The sequence below is a fragment of the Homo sapiens genome, chromosome 12, assembly GCF_000001405.40.
Source record: "Homo sapiens chromosome 12, GRCh38.p14 Primary Assembly".
Classification (NCBI taxonomy): Eukaryota; Metazoa; Chordata; class Mammalia; order Primates; family Hominidae; genus Homo; species Homo sapiens.
The window spans coordinates 99,738,633-99,757,413 of record NC_000012.12 but is presented as its reverse complement, the minus strand read 5'-3'; the positions used below and the strand labels follow the sequence as shown (position 1 = coordinate 99,757,413).

Genomic DNA, 18,781 nt, shown 5'->3' with positions numbered 1-18,781 from the left:
CATTTGGGTGAGATGGCATCTCATTGTGGTTTTGGTTTGTGTTTCTCTAATGATCAGTGATGTTGCACATTTTTTTCATATGCTTGTTGGCTGCATGTATGTCTTCTTTTGAAGTGCCTGTTAATGTTCTTTGCCCACTTTTTTATGTGGTCGTTTTTTTCTTGTAAATTTGTTTAAGTTCCTTAAAGATGCTGGCTATTAGACCTTTGTTGGATGCATAGTTTCCAAAAATTTTCTCCCAATATGTAGGTTTTCTGTTTACTCTGTTGATAGTTTCTTTGGCTGTGCAGAAGTCTTTAGTTTAATTAGATCCCATTTGTCAATTTTTGCTTTTGTTGTAGTTGCTTTTGGCATCTTTGTCATGAAATCTTTGCCCATTCCTGTGTCCTGAATGGTATTACTTAGGTTGTCTTCCAGGATTTTTTTTATAGTTTTGGGTATTACATTTAAGTCTTTAATCCATCTTGAGTTAATTTTTGTATATGGTATGAGGAAGGGGTACAGTTTCAGTTTTCTGCATATTGCTAGCCAGTTATTCAAGCACCATTTATTGAATAGGGAATCCTTTCCCCATTGCTTGTTTTTTGTCAGGTTTGTCAAAGATCACATAGTTGTAGGTGTGTGGTCTTATTTCTGGTGTGTGGTCTTATTTCTGAATTCTCTATACTGTTCCATTGGTCTGTGTATCTGTTTCTGTACCAGTACTATGCTGTTTTGGTTGCTGTAGCCCCATAGTATAGTTTGAAATTGGGTAGCATGATGCCTCCAGCTTTGTTCTTTTTGCTTAGAATTGCCTTGGATATTTTGGTTCTTTTTTGGTTCCATATTCATTTTAAAGTAGTTTTTTTCTAGTTCTTGAAGAGTCTCAATGTTAGTTTAATAGGAATAGTATTGAATCTAAATTGATTTGGGCAGTGTGACCATTTTCACGATATTGATTCTTCCTATCCATTAGCATGGAATTTATTTTTGTTTGTGTCATCTCTGATTTCTTTGTGCAGTGTTTTGTAGTTCTTGTAGAAATCTTTTACCTCCCTAGTTAGCTGTATTCCTAGGAATTTTATTCTTTTTGTGGCTATTGTGAATGGGAGTATGTTCCTGATTTGACTCTCCACTTGCCTGTTGTAGGAATGCTAGTTATTTTTGCACATTGGTTTTGTATCTTGAGACTTTGCTGAAGTTGTTTATCAGCTTAAGAAGCTTTTGGGCTAAGACTATGTGGTTTTCTAGATATGGATCATGTCATCTGCAAACAGGGATGGTTTTACTTCCTCTCTTCCTATTCAAATGCTCTTTATTTCCTTCTCTTGCCTGGTTGCCCTGGCCAGGACTTTCAGTACTATGTTGAATAGAAGTGGTGAGAGAGGGCTTCCTTGTCTTGTTCCAGTTTTCAGTGGGAACACCCCCAGCTTTTGCTCGTTCAGTATGATGTTGGCTGTGGGTTTGTCATATATGGCTCTTATTATTTTGAGGTATGTCCTCAAAATAAGGACATTATAAGGTATGTCCTTATTATTTTGAGGTATGATCCCTTTACCATTATGTAATGCCCTTCTTTGATCTTTGTTGGTTTAAAGTCTGTTTATTGAGAGTTTTTAACATGAATGGATGTTGAATTTTATCAAAAGCCTTTTCTGCATCTATTGTGATAATTATGTGATTTTTGTCTTTAGTTCTGTTAATGTGATGAATCACATTTATTGACTTGTGTATGTTGAACCAGCCTTGGATCTCAGGGATAGAGCCTGCTTGATTATGGTGGATAGGGTTTTTCATTTGCTGCCAGATTCAGCTTGTCAGTTTTTTTTTTTTTTTTTTTGAGGATTTTTGCATCCATTTTCCTGAAGGATATTGGTGTGAATTTTTCTTTTTTTGTGGTATCTTTGCCAGGTTTTGGTATCAGGATGATGTTGGCCTCATAGAATGAGTTAGGGAGGAGTCCCTCCTTTTCAATTTTTTGGAATAGTTTCAGTAGGAATGGTACTGGTTCTTCTTTGTACATCTGGTAGAATTTAGTCGTGAATCTTTCTGGTCCTGGGCTTTTTCTGGTTGGTAGGCTGTTTATTATTGCTTCAATTTCAGAGGTTTGGTTTGCTCAGAGAATCAATTTCTTCCTGGTTCAGTCTTGGGAGGGTATATGTGTCCAGGAATTTATTCATTTCTTCTAGATTTTCTAGTTTATGTGCATAGAGGTGTTCATAATATTCTTTGATGGTTGTTTGCATTTCTATGGGGTCGGGGTAATATCCCCATTGTTATTTCTGATTGTGTTTATTTGAATCTTCCCTCTTTTCTTCTTTATTAGCTTAGCTATTTGTTCTATGTTATTAATTTTTTTTTTTAAAAAGCAGCTCCTGGATTTGTTAATCTTTTGGATTTTTTTTGTCGTGTCTCAATCTCCTTAAATTCAGCTCTGATTTTGGTTATGTTTTGTACTCTACTAGCTTTGGGATTTGTTTGCTCTTGGTTGTATAGTTCTTTTAGTTGTGATGTTAGGTTGTTAACTTGAGCTCTTTCTAACTTTTTGACGTGGGCATTTAGTGCTATAAATTTCCTTCTTAACAGTGCCTGAGCTGTGTCCCAGAGATTCTGGTATGTTGTATCTTTGTTCTCATTAATTCCAAATAACTTATTGATTGCTGCCTTAATTTCATTATTTACACAAAAGTCATTCAGGAGCAGGTTATTCAGTTTGCATGTAGTTGTATGGCTTTGAGTGAATTTCTTAGTCTTGATTTCCAATTTAATTGCACTGTGGTCTGAGAGACTGTTTGTTATGATTTTCAGTTCTTTTGCATTTGCCAAGGTGTGTTTTACTTTAAATTATGTGATCAATTTTAGAGTATGTGCCATGTGGCAATGAGAAGAATGTATATTCTGGGGGAGAGTTCTGTAAATATCTGCTGGGTTCATGTGATCCATTGCTGAGTTCAGGTCCTGAATACCTTTGTTAATTTACTGTCTCAGTGATCTTTCTCATATTGTCAGTGGAGTATTAAAGTTTCCCACTGTTATTCTCTGGAAGTCTAAGTCTTTTTGAAAGTCTCTAAGAACTTGATTTAAGAATCTGCTTCCTCCTGTGTTGGGTGCATATATATTTAGGATAGTTAGATCTTCTTAATTGAACCCTTTATGATTATGTAATGCCCTCTTTTGTCTTTTTTGATCTTTGTTAGTTTAAAGTCTGTTTTGTCTGAAATAAGAATAGCAACCCTTGCTTTTTTTGGTTTGTTTTCCATTAGCATGGTAGATTTTTCTCTGTCCCTTTATTTTGAGCCTATGTGTGTCATTACATGTGAGATGAGTCTCTTGCAAACAGCATACCAATGGATCTTGGTTCTTTATCTAGCTTGCCACTTTGTGTCTTTTATTTTATTTTATTTTATTTTTGAGATGGAGTTTTGCTCTTGTTGCCCAGGCTGGAGTGCAATGGTGTGATCTTGGCTCACTGTAACCTCTGCCTCCTGGGTTCAATCAATTCTCCTGCCTCAACCTCCTGAGTTGCTGGGATTACAGGTGCCCAGCACCATGCCCGGCTGATTTTTTGTATTTTTAGAAGAGATGGGGTTTCACTATGTTGGCCAGGTTGATCTCGAACTCCTGACCTCAGGTGATCCACCCACCTTGGCCTCCCAAAGTGCTAGTATTACAGGTGTGAGCCACCGTGCCCACCCTACTTTGTGTCTTTTAATTGTGGTATTTAGCTTATTTACATTTAAGGCTGGTATTGATATGTGTAGATTTGACTCTGTCCTCATAGGCAAAAGAGAAATAAGATCCTTTTCAGACAAGCAAATGCTGAGGGAGTTTGTTACCACCAGACCTGCCTTACAAGAGCTTCTGAAGGAAGCACTAAATATGAAAAGGAAAGACTGTTACCAGCCACTACAAAAACACATTGAAGTATACAGAGCAGTGATACAATATTGAGCCTTATTTTAACTAAATTATCGTGGCCCCTTCCTCTTCTTGGAGTTCAAGAATGTCAAGATCTTCCGATTCTGTTACTACCCCTCCTTATCCAATGATATTTCTTTCTGTTCTCCTTCCTGCCACCAGTATAGCTTATTCCTTTGTTATTTGTCTAAAAATATCATAGGCATTTCTTGCATGGTGTGTTTGCTCATTGTTTCATTCTCTCATCTTTGCTGTTTGTTTAAATCTTGTTCATCTTATGAGGTGTAGTTCAAGTCTTTCTTTATATAGAAACCTCCTTACTTACTCCAGCTCAGACTTTTTCTTTTTCTTTGAACAGATGGAGACTCTCAGAAGAGAAATGAGATCTATTAAAAACATTAATTGGAAATTCCAGAATTTAAAAGTACAGTATCTCATAATAAAAAACACCTGAACTTCAACTGAATTTATAATCTTTATACTATATAATCATGCAGTTTAACAATGAATCAGTCATTGTTTCAAAGTATATTATTTATGAAAGGAGGTTGAATGACATTGTTCCTTTGCCTCAGGGTATGACTATGACTAAGTACAAAGGGAAGTTAATTTGACATATTTTACCTCTTACATTATTGTATTTAATGGCAATGAAATATAAAAGCTAAGCAATTCACATAGTGTCCTACAAATAGTAACTACTCAATAAACATTTTTATATGGATGAAAAAATGAATTCTAGTCATATTTTTAGCAGCATTCCAATAGTAATGTGTTTTCAGAAACTATCAGAATTATAAGTTGTATATATAAGGGTATATTGTGAAGGGGTACTGCAATAATAAAATATTATTACTTACCAATAAATAGTATCAATATCCTACAAAACATAAAAATATAAACATAAAATACACATTATGATATTTTGTATATTTAAAAAATCTTATTGCGTAATGAGAAAACTAAAATGATAGTCTCTTATTTTAAAGCTAATCCATTTTTCTTCATTGCTTTAGTTCATCCACTCAGTAAACATTCGTTATACCTATATTACGTACTAGCTACTGTTTTATGGCAGACAAAAAAAACGACTGAGGCATTTCCATGTTTTATGGAGCTTGGAGTTTGGCAGGTAAAACAGATATATTACCAAATAATTGAAATACAGGGTGGTAAAGTGTATTACCAAGCAAGCAGTCCAGTAAATGATAGTATAAGGTGTTGTAGAAAGTTAGGAAGAACAGTATATCTGAGAGTCTGGGATGTTGCCTGACAGATAGTAGCTCTCTTATAAAAGTGTGTTAAAAAAAGAAATAGCTATATTTTAATCAGTGAAAATGAAAAGTGATTCTGTCCTGTTTGAATATGAGGTGAAAGGCACAGGAAAAAGTGTGATAATAACAATCATCTGATTATGGAATAGGGAAAATGAAGGCATGTCATGAACTTGCTCCTATTTAGGGCTGTGTTGTCATCTCTCATCATTTTCCCCATTATTTATAATTCTATAAATTTACCAAACTCTCTTTCACCAGTCTTTCAGCATGTATAACTATACCTGAGTTCTCACACTCTCCTCTGCCCCAAACCAATTTCATTATTTTTACTTTTCCTCCTCCATCAAAACATTACTTCTAATCTTAGCTCATTTTTGAACCTTCATTCCAATTTGTATTAGGCTTTCTCCCAGTGCCTTTTATAATATAGAGTCCCAATGTCCTGTAATAGTACTTATGGTGGTTGTAATTGTAGTAAGTAGTTATAAATTCTGATTGTTTCTTGTTCTTGAATATATTAGACTGTGAACCCCTTGAGGGCATTATCTATATATTTCATCTTTGTGATATCACAGAATCCTGGTATGGGGCCTGCCACATAATACCAATATGCAATTTTTGAATCAATGAACAAAAGAAGAATGAATGGGTGGGTGGATGGGTAGATGTTAGAAAAGTGAACACAGTTTGACTGGAAATTGAGAAAAATTTTTAGTTCAGTCTTGCCTGGGGTAGTTCTTTTTTGTTTTCATCTGTTTCTTCAGAAGGACTGCACATTCATTCTTACTGAATAAGAGCTATGCTGGCGGGACCATTCTTCTTTTAAATATTTTAATGTTATTTTATGGTAGTTTTCTTGAAGCATTTTGTTACTTTCGAGATGCTTTATAGGAATATGGCAAAACTGATGTATCATACTGATTTTTATTTATTTTTTGTTTATTTTAATAAGAGGTTACATTATCCTGATTTCAAAAAAGAATTACAATTAAATCTTTTGGCCAATTAAATCTTTTTAAAGAAAGATCTAATTGATTACTAAAGCCATGAATAAGTTTAATTATGTTAATTAAATGTTAAAGAAAGTTTAGAATCTGGGATTAAGCAAAGAAATAAATTTCAAAAAATAGTTTTACTGAAGATGTAGACTACTTATGAATATTAAAATATTTTATAATTTGAAGTTAATGCATTTGTACTGAGTTCTAGGGATATTAAAAACTTAAAATTAGTGGAAAAATAAAATGAATCATGAATATCAATGATCACATATTAGTGATATAATCATAAGCTATATTAGTTAAGGTAATACTAGCTATTTTAAAAAATAAAAATTATATAATGAATCAAATATAATGGAAGTTTATTTCTTAACAATTTAAAGTCTAAAACAGGTATTCTGGATCAGCAGGTGGCTCTCCTCAAAGGGGGAGTTCAGATTTCTCCCATCTATTGACTCTGCCCTTTTGAGCACAACCTTTCAAGGTCACTTGGCTTATCTGTCAAAAGGTGGTATGGGTAAAGATGATGGAAGATACAGGTGAGGTAGGAGGTTAAAGGGGATGGGCCTGGAAACAGTAGACATCATTTCCACTTATCTTCCACTGACTAGTACTCAGTCATACAATCACATGGCTGTCCCAAACTGCAAGACTAGGAAATATGGTTTAGCTAAGTGCCCAAGAAGTAGAGAAAACAGGTTTGTTAAAAAGCTAAGTAGAATTGGCTATACAATATCTTTTATAATTTAAATAATTTTTCTCCATATACATGTTGATTTTTGTAGTTCTCATTTATACAAGCTTTTCCTATAGTTATAGGTAGTAGTATAAACATGAATTTATTAATTAAAATCTTCCTAGGTAAAATTGTGAAATATGTTTATATAGCAACAATTAGACCTTTATGCAATGCAATTTCAAGTTTTACTTTTTTCCTAGGAATATTATAGTGACCTCTAAGCATTTGCTTATTATATATATAGCGGGTCTTTTACTTCTGTTTAGAGTGGTTATCTTGAACACTTACACATAATTTTTGATGCATTCACTCACATAAAAAGTTATAAATTATAAGTGCCTCACTCACAAATTTACATATTTAAAGAAATAAAATCAGTAATTCTAATATGCTTGAGAGAGAATTTGAGATCTTGTTCTTTTTGTGATTACAAAATTCAACTGTGAGATAGAATGTTATTGATTATTTGTACTGTCTGGTGGACAAGTCAGCAATTACTTTTAAGAATCCTAGCTAAAACTTGGATTATACAACTATATATCTGGTTGTACTATTTTTCGTTTTTTTCTTTATCTTTTCTGACAGTGAACTATATTTGCTTTCATTTGATTTGCTTTAGAATTCCTTTTATTTTGTGTACTGGATTTTCCCTCAAAGTAATATTTTTCATATGCCAGAATCTTTAAACCCTGAGACACTCTTTCTGAAGCACTAGCTTCTGATGGTCACCAATATAGCCCTGGACCTTCTTTTGTTTATATTGACTCCCTTAAGGAAAATTAGATTTTATTCCTTTGAAATGGCCTTGTGTTCAGACTTTAGGTCCGGTGATAAAACCTTGTTTACTTCCATCAAAGAGGTAACACCCATATATCCATATTTAGAATATACCAGTTCAGTGTTGAAAATGGGAAGAGAAAATTTCTGCCATATCTTATTTTCTGATTTTCCATGTATCTCTTCAAAACCAATTCAAACTGATTTATGCAGAAAAGGAATGTGTTAGCGCATATAAATGAAAAATCTAGGCTTTTATGGATCCTAGTACTCAAACAATGTAATCTGGAATCTGCCTTTCCCCATTGGTCAGCTGGATTTTCCTCTACACTGGTTTTGTTCTCAGGCCAGCTTTTCCCATATGGTGGCAAGGGATATAAGTAGCCCAAGGTTCATTGTGTTCTTTGCTTAATAATCCTGGCCAAAAGCGCTTCTTTCCCCAAATTCAAGCAAGATTTCTAAGTTTGATCACATTTTGACTGCTGAGCCAATCTCAGTTGTCAAAGAGATGGATGTATTGATTAATTAGCCCCGGATTATGTATCCAGGTCAAAGCTTATAGGAGGTAGGGGTAGGGCCAGCCCTACTTGAACAGAAATGTTCAGTTACATCTCAGTGGTTCTTTTCAAGCTATAGCCAGCAGCCTTGAAATGGGCTTGTGTCCCACAGGGTCAGTACAAATCAGCTTTGAGTAACGAATATTTTGCTGATGGAGGGAGCTTAGAAAACTATAGTGTCTATATCAGATGATTGAGGGTGGTTGCAGCCTAGGCTTTTACAAATATTTTACTCCCAGGATTTGTTAATTCAGTAGGACAGAATATTTAAGTAATGTAACTAGGAAACATTAGGTTACTACATCACAGTATTACCTGAATTTTGGCTATGCTGGTATTCCATATTTTATGAATAGCTATAATCCTTAAAATATCTGTCCAGATATCACCTTGTCAATAAAGTCTTCTCTGTTTTCCTTCTTAGTGTTCTCTATTTCCATTACCCTGTTTTATCTTTCTTCAGAGAACTTACCACGATTCAACGTATTATATATTTGCTTGTTTATTTTCTATCTCCTTCCACTAGAATGTAAACTTGAGAGCAGCAGCTTTATCTACTTAGTTTATTGCTGTATTACTGGTGTCTAGAAAAATTCTGGCATAAGTATATACTCAGTATTATTTGTTAAATGAATGAAAATTGAAAAATTAGTTTGATAAGAAACAAAATAATGTTTTCTATTTTTTTATGCTGCAAAATTGGAAAGATATTCCATGAGGAATATTTTTCTGAAAATCTAAAAAAAAAAATCTCTTCAGATAGTTCTCAAGCCAATTTTAGGCAGATTTACTTGAAGTATGTTTTTGTAAATATCAATAATATTCAAAGTAACTAATAATAAAATATTCTATTTCAAATCCATTTTAAGGAAATAAAATCAGTTGGGTGTTCACTTTAGGCTGTTTTTACTTTCATCTGGCCACAAACATTATCTTGGTGTTCATGGTAGATATTAATAGACTTCTGGGAAGGGTCAGGGTTGCAATTTGTGGCACCCAAATAAATGAAGTTTTCTATTCCATATGGATATTTAAACTTAACCCAGTACCATGATACTTTCTCTAACAAGATGAGCTAGCTAGTCGCAATCATAATAACTGCATTATCAGCCTTTAAGAGCTGTAGAAAATAGAATTAAGTCTCTACCTTTAAGAATAGAAAGTGAACACATGAGGCCAAAAGTGCTTCAATATAGAAGGAAAAAGAAATTTGCATTCATACATTATTCTTCTTCTCCTGACTTTCAGATTTTAGGTGTACTCATGTGTTTCTTTTGGATGGATTCTTTAGGAGTTTAGATGTTGTTTTTTGGCAAGGATTATGAGAAAATGGTTCATTTTTCACATGTGTTTAATAAGAGAGATTTGAGATAGCAATCCAATTTTGAAAGGTAGGGCTTAGTTAAGTGTAGGAGAGAAAGGAGAGCATTCTAGGCGTGAGAAATTTCCAACCAACATCACGTAAGTGGGACTGCATGTTTTATTTGGAGCAATTTGACTGGATTGGATGACTGATGTATAGGAGAAGAGAGAGAAGAGGTTATAGAGACAGGGATCCAACAAGAATTTTAAATAATTGGATAAATAGTATGAAAGATATTTTATAGGCAATGGGGATCCATTAAAGATTTTTTAACAGGAAGTGAAGTGTGAAATATAGTTTGAGCAGAGGGAGAGGAAGAGACAGTTTGTGTAGAAATCAGTTAGGAAACAGTTGCATTTCTCTGGGAAAAAGGGCTGAGATGAGGATTGGGGTGGTCAGGAAGGAAACTTATGAAGGCTGAATTTACAAGACTTGGTGGCTATAGGTTGCAGGAGAGAGGGAGAAGAGAGGAAACCAGGGATCACTCTCTTCTGCAACTCAGAAAACAAGAAGGGAAACTGGCTGTGTTAGAAAGAGGATAAGTTTAGTTTCAAACATGTTAACCTTGAGGTGACTGCAAAATTCCAAGGTGGTGATGCCTAGCAGGGGGAGGTTTGAAAAAGGAGCTTGGGAAAGCTTTTAGGGCAAGAGATTTGATTGTGGAATTATAAACACAAAGGTATAAGCTTGATATATTGAAGGAGGAGAAAGGGGTTCAGACCTGAGCCTTTGAAGGGTCCCATTTTTGGGAGTGTGAAGAATATAGGGAATATGGGGTATATGAAAGAAATTAGAATAGATTATATAGCATGACTCCCAGGGATTTGTAGTTCCAGTTCCATGACACTGAATTTAGTAATTTATAGGGACTAGGCTTTATCAGACTAGAGAGAGTCTGAGGGTGAGGATTAAGGATTTAAAAAACTGCTTGAATGTGTTATGTATAGTACTCTTGCAGTCATGTTACATGTTATACAACTTGAAGTTAGAAAAAAATACACCTGTCTCAGATGCAGGCTGGATTGCTTCTGTATGTAAGACTATGCCCAGATGGGACAATACTGCCTCCTGAGGTCTGAACTGATGTGACTTTCCAATACAGTCATTTACAGCCATCCATCCCTTAGTGAGAATTTTGGGATCTAGAAGTTTATACCTCTCTCTGTCCTAGTTAATGTTACTTACTCTGTCATATTTTTTGTTGCACTGATATACTTTTGTTAATATTTGTACTTATGTCATTACAATGATTGTATAGAAGCAAGGGAATGAAGAGGTAGAAAAAATTCAGGGTAATGTAACATAACAGGAACTAAATGAGAATATTTGAGGGAAAATGACTGACTGCTGAGGCCACAAGCAATGAAAACTGCAAAAGAGTTGACATTAGGAAGTAATTGATGACATTGGTAAATGGAATTTTAATTTGAATTGGTTGATAGCCAGATTGCTAATACATGAGCATTTCATTTTTGAGTACTAAACACTTGGATAGGGACTAGAGAAAATATTTGTTACACTGAATTATTTCCTTAATTGTATCTGTGTTATTATTGATGGCACAATGAAGCCACCTAACAGTGTGTGGAAATAGCTTCTTATTCAGAAACCTTGGGGAAATAAAATTCATTCATTTGTTCATTGATATCATGATTTCATAGAATAAGCTGAGAGTTACACGGCCCTGGTTTAAACCCTAGTGTTGCTGCTCACCAGTTATGTAAACTTGGACACAAATTACTTACATAACTGAGTCTTTTTGTTATTACTGGTAGAGTGGGAATAATCAGGCTTATCTAAGAGCATATTTTTCCAACCGTATATGGCTCATGAACTCCTATTAATGTGGTTCTTTCTGTTTTTTTGAACACCATTAAATATTTAGAAAATCATTGTCTTTTATTTATGGAATGTATTTTAAAAATAAGAAAATATATATTTTAGATCAGTAGTTAAATATTGTATCATAAAATATAATTGAAGTATAATTATTAATATGAAAGGTGAATTTATATTTTCTTATATGACAAATGAAACATGGCATTTAATTTAAATCAATTAGATTTTTAAAAATAATAAAATGACAGGTTATATTTTTTGTTTTCTTAATTAAATTGTAAATTGTAATTTTACTGTTTGTTTATAGCATCAAGATACTTTCACAATCTGATGCTTACAATTTGTGCTTACAAAATAAACCATTAAAAATGATTTTAGTGCTTTTTCCCAAGTGATAAGATAGAAAATTGAGGCTGCTGTTTGTAGTTGTTTGCAAATTGCAAGCATGGAGACCCTGAATTTTCAATAAATGAGAAGCCACATGAATAAAACCACCATATTTTGCTCTTCTTAATGTTGTTTTTTGAAGTGCTTAGAGATATTTTTATATACTATTAAGGACTTCCGAGTAGATAGGATACTGTAAGCTGAAATCTGATGAAGATGAGCTTGAGACAAATTTGCCCAATGTTTACTGTTCTTATGCTTCTCATTAGTTTGTTATGTTGCAACATCAATGTTTCTTAACATCACTGTTACTTCTGTCTTTAATCATTGGTTCTTTATGCATGTGCACTTATGCACAATTACAGTGATCAGTTATGTTATGTTTCCTTATTCTCTTTGTTTATTGAATTAGATATTAGAATAGCTATTTATACTTTGAAGGTTTTTAAAACAAATTTAAGACTTTGAACATCCTGAGTCTTTTCATCAGGATCCCCTTAATAAGCATTTGTGTTTTTTTCGTTAGGATGGCTTCTTGGGCTCCTAAAGATACTACTGATTTTTTTTTTTTTTTTTTTTTTTTTTGAGACAGAGTCTCACTCTGTCACCTAGGCTGGAGTGCAGTGGCGCAATCTTGGCTCACTGCAACCTCCATCTCCCGGGTTCAAGCAATTCTCCTGCCTCAGCCTCCTGAGTAGCTGGGATTACAGGCATGTGCCACCACGCCCAGCTAATTTTTGTATTTTTAATAGAGACAGGGTTTCACCATGTTAGTCAGGCTAGTCTCAAACTTCTGACCTCAGGTGATCTGCCTGCCTCAGCCTCCCAAAGTGCTGGGATTACAGGCATGAGCCACCGCACCTGGCCTGAAGTATCTTTTTAAGTTACTGTTTTGTTTGTAACGCCTTTTCCATTTGCAGGTTTCTAATCCTTCAAAGATAGAACATTTATTCAGGCTGCTAAGGCAGTTGTATAGCTTTAATTTTAGTACTGAAGAAAGAGGAACTAAGCAGAGTAAAAAAAGAATGCCTGTAGCTGTAGTGTTATATTTGCTTGATTTCAGGATTTCCTTCAGAAGTTAATCTGAATGCAGAGGAAGAGGTGGACATAGGGACTTAAGGACAGTGTGAAGAATGCTTCAGAGCATCTGTTCTTTCTTGGGGTTTACAGTTGTAAGTGAAACTTTTAATGATGGTCTTGTACTTTAAATAAGAAACTTCTGTTGATCCAGTTCAGGGAATTTGTGCCTCACCAAATTCTATACTATTTAGTGTATATTGAAAAATATTACATTGACTTATCATGTGATTGACTCTCAAAAAGGAGAAATTAATCTATTAGTATGAATTTTTTAAGTAAGAATTAATTCACTTGAAACCTTTCCCCTTCATTTCTCCCTCTTTTGTTATTCCCAATATCTCATTTAATCTGTATGTTCCAGATATAGTCATCTTTCAGTATCTGCAGGGGGTTGGTTGCAGGAACCCAAAGGATACTGAAATCCATGGATGCTCAAGTTCCTTAGTTGACCCTTCTTGTCTGCAGACGTGGAACCCATGGATAAAGAGTGCCAGCTGTATTTTAATATCTTTCTGGTATCACCATTGGCTTTAGGCATTAATTTTTCTCATTAGGATTGTTAGAATCAACACAATTAAAGCCGAGAAAGTTATCAAGATGTATGAAGCTTTTTTCAAAACCCATTATTTAAAGATGCATCAGAACTTTAGACCTGTAAGACATAGTTCAATATGGAGAACTTTAGTTGAAATTAACACTACTCCATTTTCTAAGGCTGTTGTCTTGGGAAATTTCCACAGAATACATCTGTTAGAGACGAGCTTAGTTATTGTAGTGTTATTACTTTAGTTCATAATTTTTTATGGTTGGTGACAAATATTTCACCTGCTCTCACAGTCCCACAGGAATAGAAAACCGCAGAATAAAGTTACATATAACTTGAAAATTATTCAGCATAAAGGTACCTCTCCAGCCACATACAGATTCCTATTTGTACTGGAATAAGATTTGCTTTATTAATCCTCTCTTCCTCTCTATCCTTAAAAGATTAACGTTATGTTGTAGATTTCATTCTGAGAGAAAAGATGACTTGCCATTCCAAAATGTGGTTTTAGAAATAGACTTAGTTTTAGAAGTAACTTGTAAAAATATATTCATAATGGAGACAAAGTTATACTTAAAAATCATTTAAAAAATAGACTACATTAGATTATTGGTAAATTACATGTATGCTAAAATTAATGAAACAATAGCCATAGGAACTGAAAGGTCTTTTTCTTTAATCTCTATTTTAGGTGAACCTCTAGATTTTGTCGTGCTTGAGACAAAAGTCTTTCCCTATATCTGTAGGCTTACAATAATAGAAGTTCATTTTGTTGAGAGACCCTGATACAATTTATTATAATTAAGTATATGCATATAATAGGTTACTTAAATCAGATACTATGTGAATAATTAAGGCAGAGTTTCTGCCTGCTAGGCTATAAACTAGAGAAAGCACTTAGAGGTAGCTGATATAATATCATGAGGTCAAAATAATTTGTTATCAAGATTTCTTGGCCAGTTTAGAGAAAGGAAGATATTGATGGCCATTGCCTGGAAAAGTACAAAGTTGTGAGGATTTGCTAAAAAATAGCTTCTAACATTAGTAATTGAAATAAAAGCAACCAGAGAATAAAAACTTAAATTCTAGTGTGCATTTTTTTTTTTTTTTTTTTTGAGACAGAGTCTCCCTCTGTCACCCAGGCTGGATGGCAGTGGTGCGATCTTGGCTCACTGCAACCTCTGCCTCCCGGGTTCAAGAGATTCTCCTGCCTCAGCCTCCTGAGTAGCTGGGATTACAGTTGTGCACCACCACGCCTGGCTAATTTTTTTTTTGTATTTTTAGTAGAGACGGGGTTTCACCGTGTTGGTCAGGCTGGTCTCGAACTCCTGACCTCATGATCTGCCTGCCTTGGCCTCCCAAAGTGCTGGGATTACAGGCGTGATTCACTGCACCCAGCCAAATTCTAGTGTGCATTTTAATGTATATTTCACTTACTCTTATTTTTACTACTTTAATAAACAGTGACATACTTAGATTTAAAAATTTTGCATCTTCCATACCAGTCTTTGTTATGTTGTTTCTTAAGTCAAATTATAAAATCTAGATTTTTTAAAAAATTATATTTTTTGTGTGTGAATACTCTGCTTTGGTTTTCTTTCTTTTTAATTTTTCTGGGAATGTTTTGATATTTCAATTTTTAATGTAATCAAATACATCATTTATTGTCTTTGCAATTGCCTCCACTGTTTTTTTTTTTCTTTTAAGTTCAGGGGTACATGTGCAGGTTTGTTACATAGCTAAACTTATGTCATGGGGGTTTGTACATATTATTTTATCACCGAGGTATTAAGCTTAGTACCCATTAGTTTTTTTTTTCCTGATCCTCTCCTTCCTACCACCTTCCACCCTCCAATAGGCTCCAGTGTGTATTGTTCCGCTGTATGTGTCCATGTGTTCTCATCACTTAGTTCCCACTTATAAGTGAGAACATATGGTATTTGGTTTTCTCTTCCTGTGTTACTTTGCTAAGGATAATGGCCTCTAGGTCCATCCATATCCCTGCAAAGGACATGATCTTATTCTTTTTTTTAAATTTAGCTTTATTTATTTATTTATTTTCATTATACTTTAAGTTCTGGGAAACGTGCAGAATGTGCAGGTTTGTTACATGGGTATACCTGTGTCATGGTAGTTTGCTGCACCCATCAATCTCTCATCTACATTAGGTATTTCTCCTAATGCTATCCCTCCCCTTGCCCCCCACCTCGACAGGCCCCAGTGTGTGATGTTCCCCTCCCTGTGTCCATATGTTCTCATTGTTCAACTTCCACTTATGAGTGAGAACATGCGGTGTTTGGTTTTCTGTTCCTGTGTTAGTTTGCTGAGAATGATGGTTTCCAGCTTCATCCATGTCGCTGCAAAGGACATGAACTCATCCTTTTTTATGGCCGCATAGTATTCCATGGTATATATGTGCCACATTTTCTTTATCCAGCCTATCATTGATGGGCATTTGGGTTGGTTCCAAGTCTTTGCTATTGTGAATAATGCTGCAGTAAACATACATGTGAATGTGTCTTTATAGTAGCATGATTTATAATCCTTTGGGTATATACCCAGTAATGGGATTGCTGGGTCAAATGGTATTTCTAGTTCTAGATCCTTGAGGAATTGCCACACTGTCTTCCACAATGGTCGAACTCCCATCAACAGTGTAAAGCTTTCCTATTTCTCCATATCCTCTCCAGCATCTGTTGTTTCCTGATGTGTGTGTGTGTGTGTGTGTGTGTGTGTGTGTGTGTGTTTGACGGAGCCTAGCTCTGTTGCCAGGCTGGAGTGCTGTGGTGTGATCTTGGCTCACTGCAACCTCAGACTGCCTGGTTCAAGTGATTCTCCTGCCTCAGCCTCCCGAGTAGCTGGGATTACATGTACGCGCCACCACACCCAGCTAATTTTTGTATTTTCAGTAGAAATGGCATTTCACCATTTTGCCAGATTGGTCTCGATCTCCTGACCTAGTTAGGTGTCTGCCCAAATTGCCACCTACTTTTGTGCTTGAAACCCAGGGCCCTGGTGGCATAGGCACTAGAGGGAATCTCCTGGTCTGTGGGTTGTAAAAACAGTGGGAAAAGTGTAGTATCTGGGCCGGAGTGCACTGTTCCTCATGGCATAGTCCCTCACGGCTTCTCTTGGCTAGGGGAAGGAATTTCCCAACCCCTTGCACTTCCCGGGTGAGGGGATGCCCCACCCAGCTTCAGCTTGCCCTCCATGGGCTGCACCCTCTGTCTAACCATTTCCAGTGAGATAAGCCAGGTACCTGGGTTGGAAATGCAGAAATCACCCGCCTTCTGCATTGATCTCACTGGGAGCTGCAGACTGGAGCTGTTCCTATTTGGCCATCTTGCTGGCCCCATTTCTCCTAATTTTTAATTTAACTTGATGTTATGGGATACTATTTAACTTACCCTCATTGATCCTTGTGATTTTACCCTATGCTTTCATATGAGCAGATCCTTTTTCTTGTCTGACATACACTTTTGCCTGACATGCTGTGTGTAAGCCAGGAACAATGCTGCAGTCAGGTCTGATTCCTGGAATATTTCACAGAGGTGCTGCATTATAATATTTATTATTACAACAGTAGCCTGTATTTATTGACTAGTTTTTTTGTTTTTTGTTTTTTGTTTTTGTTTTTGTTTTTGAGACACGGTCTCCCTCTGTTAACCAGGCTGGAGTACAGTTGTGTGATCATGGATCACTCTAGTTTCAACTTCCTGGGCTCAAGTGATCCTCCCCCTCAGCTTCCCAAGTAGCTGGAATTGTAAGTGTGTGCCACCATGGCCAGCTAATTAATTTCTTTTTTCGTAGAGATGGGGTCTCACTGTGTTACCCAGGCTGGTCTTGAACACTTGGGCTCAAGTGATTCTCTTGCCTCTGTCTCCAAAAGTGCTGGATTGCAGGTGTGAGCCACTGTTCCTGGCTACCGACTAGTTCTTATGTGCCAGGTAATGTTCTTAGTGGATCCCACATTAAGTGGGAGGAGACAGAAGGTAAAGTAAAAATGTGAAAATATGTAGTATGATAAAGATGATAAGTGCTATGGAGCAAATCAAGGCAGGGAAGGGATAGAGGGAAGGGCAGAAGTAAAACAAGGGGCTTAGGCTTACATGGAATGCTCAGAGAAGGATGGAGAAGGTTGTGTTTGAGCAAAGACCTGAAGCAGGTGGAACAGTTAGCCATCAACTATCTGAGGAATGAATATTCCAGGGGGAGAAAAAAGAAGTGGCAGCAGAACGCTTGAGGTGGAACAGTGATTGGCATGAGTGAGGCGGAGATGACATAGAGATGACATGGAGATGACATGGTCAAAGAGACGTGGAAGGGGCAGTTTTCATCTGGGACATTATGGGCCGCTAGAAATATTTTTAGTTTTGTTTAGAACATGTTATTTAATTTTTACAAAATTCTACGAAGGCCTGTCATTATTCATATATGATTATAAAACTGAAACTTAAGATGCTTAGATTGTTCCCAAAGCTTATACAGTTAGTCCCTGGAGTCAGGATTTGAATCCACTAGTCTAACTTCAAATGGTATTTAAAGACAAAGGATCTTGGATGGAGTTTTTTTTTAGCTTTGAGTACTTTTTTTTTGGCCCCGCCCCCCCCAAAAAAAACCCTCCCCATCAAATCACAGATAGAAACATTATCCAGAGTATTAATGTAAAAGGATATTAAAATGGAAGTTTCTTTTGAAGCCCCAAGATACTAGATGCCATACTTCAAAGTGGGGTTGAAGGCCACAGTGGTTTAGAATTTATAAAGTTAGGGTAGAATTAGTCAGACAGCATTTGCATCCCTTAAAGACATGGAGGTTGTGAAAGTTAGGAGATGGGAGATTAGGGGAGAGATTTTGGAGAAAGATGATAGTGTATGTGAATACCCTCCCTGAATGGAGTGAGGGAAGTAATTCCTAACCTTTGCCTAAGTCTAGTGGAAGATGGCCTTCCACTAGAGGACTTAATATTCCACAGAGTACTTAGTATTAGTATATGCCCTTACAGCTTAAAGGACACAGTGAGTTGGTATCAAATGTCCACCTGAACTCTAAGCCACAATATAATATGGAATCACCTACTTGCTTCACAGTCTGCTTTCACCTCCAGCCTCACATCTCCAAATGTGAGCATATTTGTGGGATTCTGTTGGTTTTCTTTATTTACTTTCCAGACAAGTTACTTCTTAACTAGTGAGTCTTGGTTTGGGCCAATCCTTCCTTCAATAAAGTTCTGTTGGCCTAAACTTACAAAAGTTCTTCAATTCTGTGATGTGAGAATGTTATTCTTTGTAGTACTGGTTACTCTAGTTTTTAATGGTTT

The 18,781-nt window shown here is 35.7% G+C and overlaps 1 protein-coding gene across 20 annotated transcripts in view; it reads left to right on the top strand.

Moving 5' to 3' along the window:
* The window catches only part of ANKS1B (ankyrin repeat and sterile alpha motif domain containing 1B), a 1,250,151-nt gene that overhangs the window by 227,523 nt on the left and 1,003,847 nt on the right, over window positions 1-18,781 (top strand). Inside the window, exon 1 of one of the 20 annotated variants that reach the window (XM_024449060.2) lies at window positions 12,991-13,009. The exons of the other annotated variants lie outside the window; for them this stretch is intronic. The gene's annotated coding sequence lies outside the window, so the exon portion shown is untranslated. Of the gene's footprint in view, window positions 1-12,990; window positions 13,010-18,781 lie in introns of those variants that run through there. 20 annotated transcript variants of the gene reach the window in all.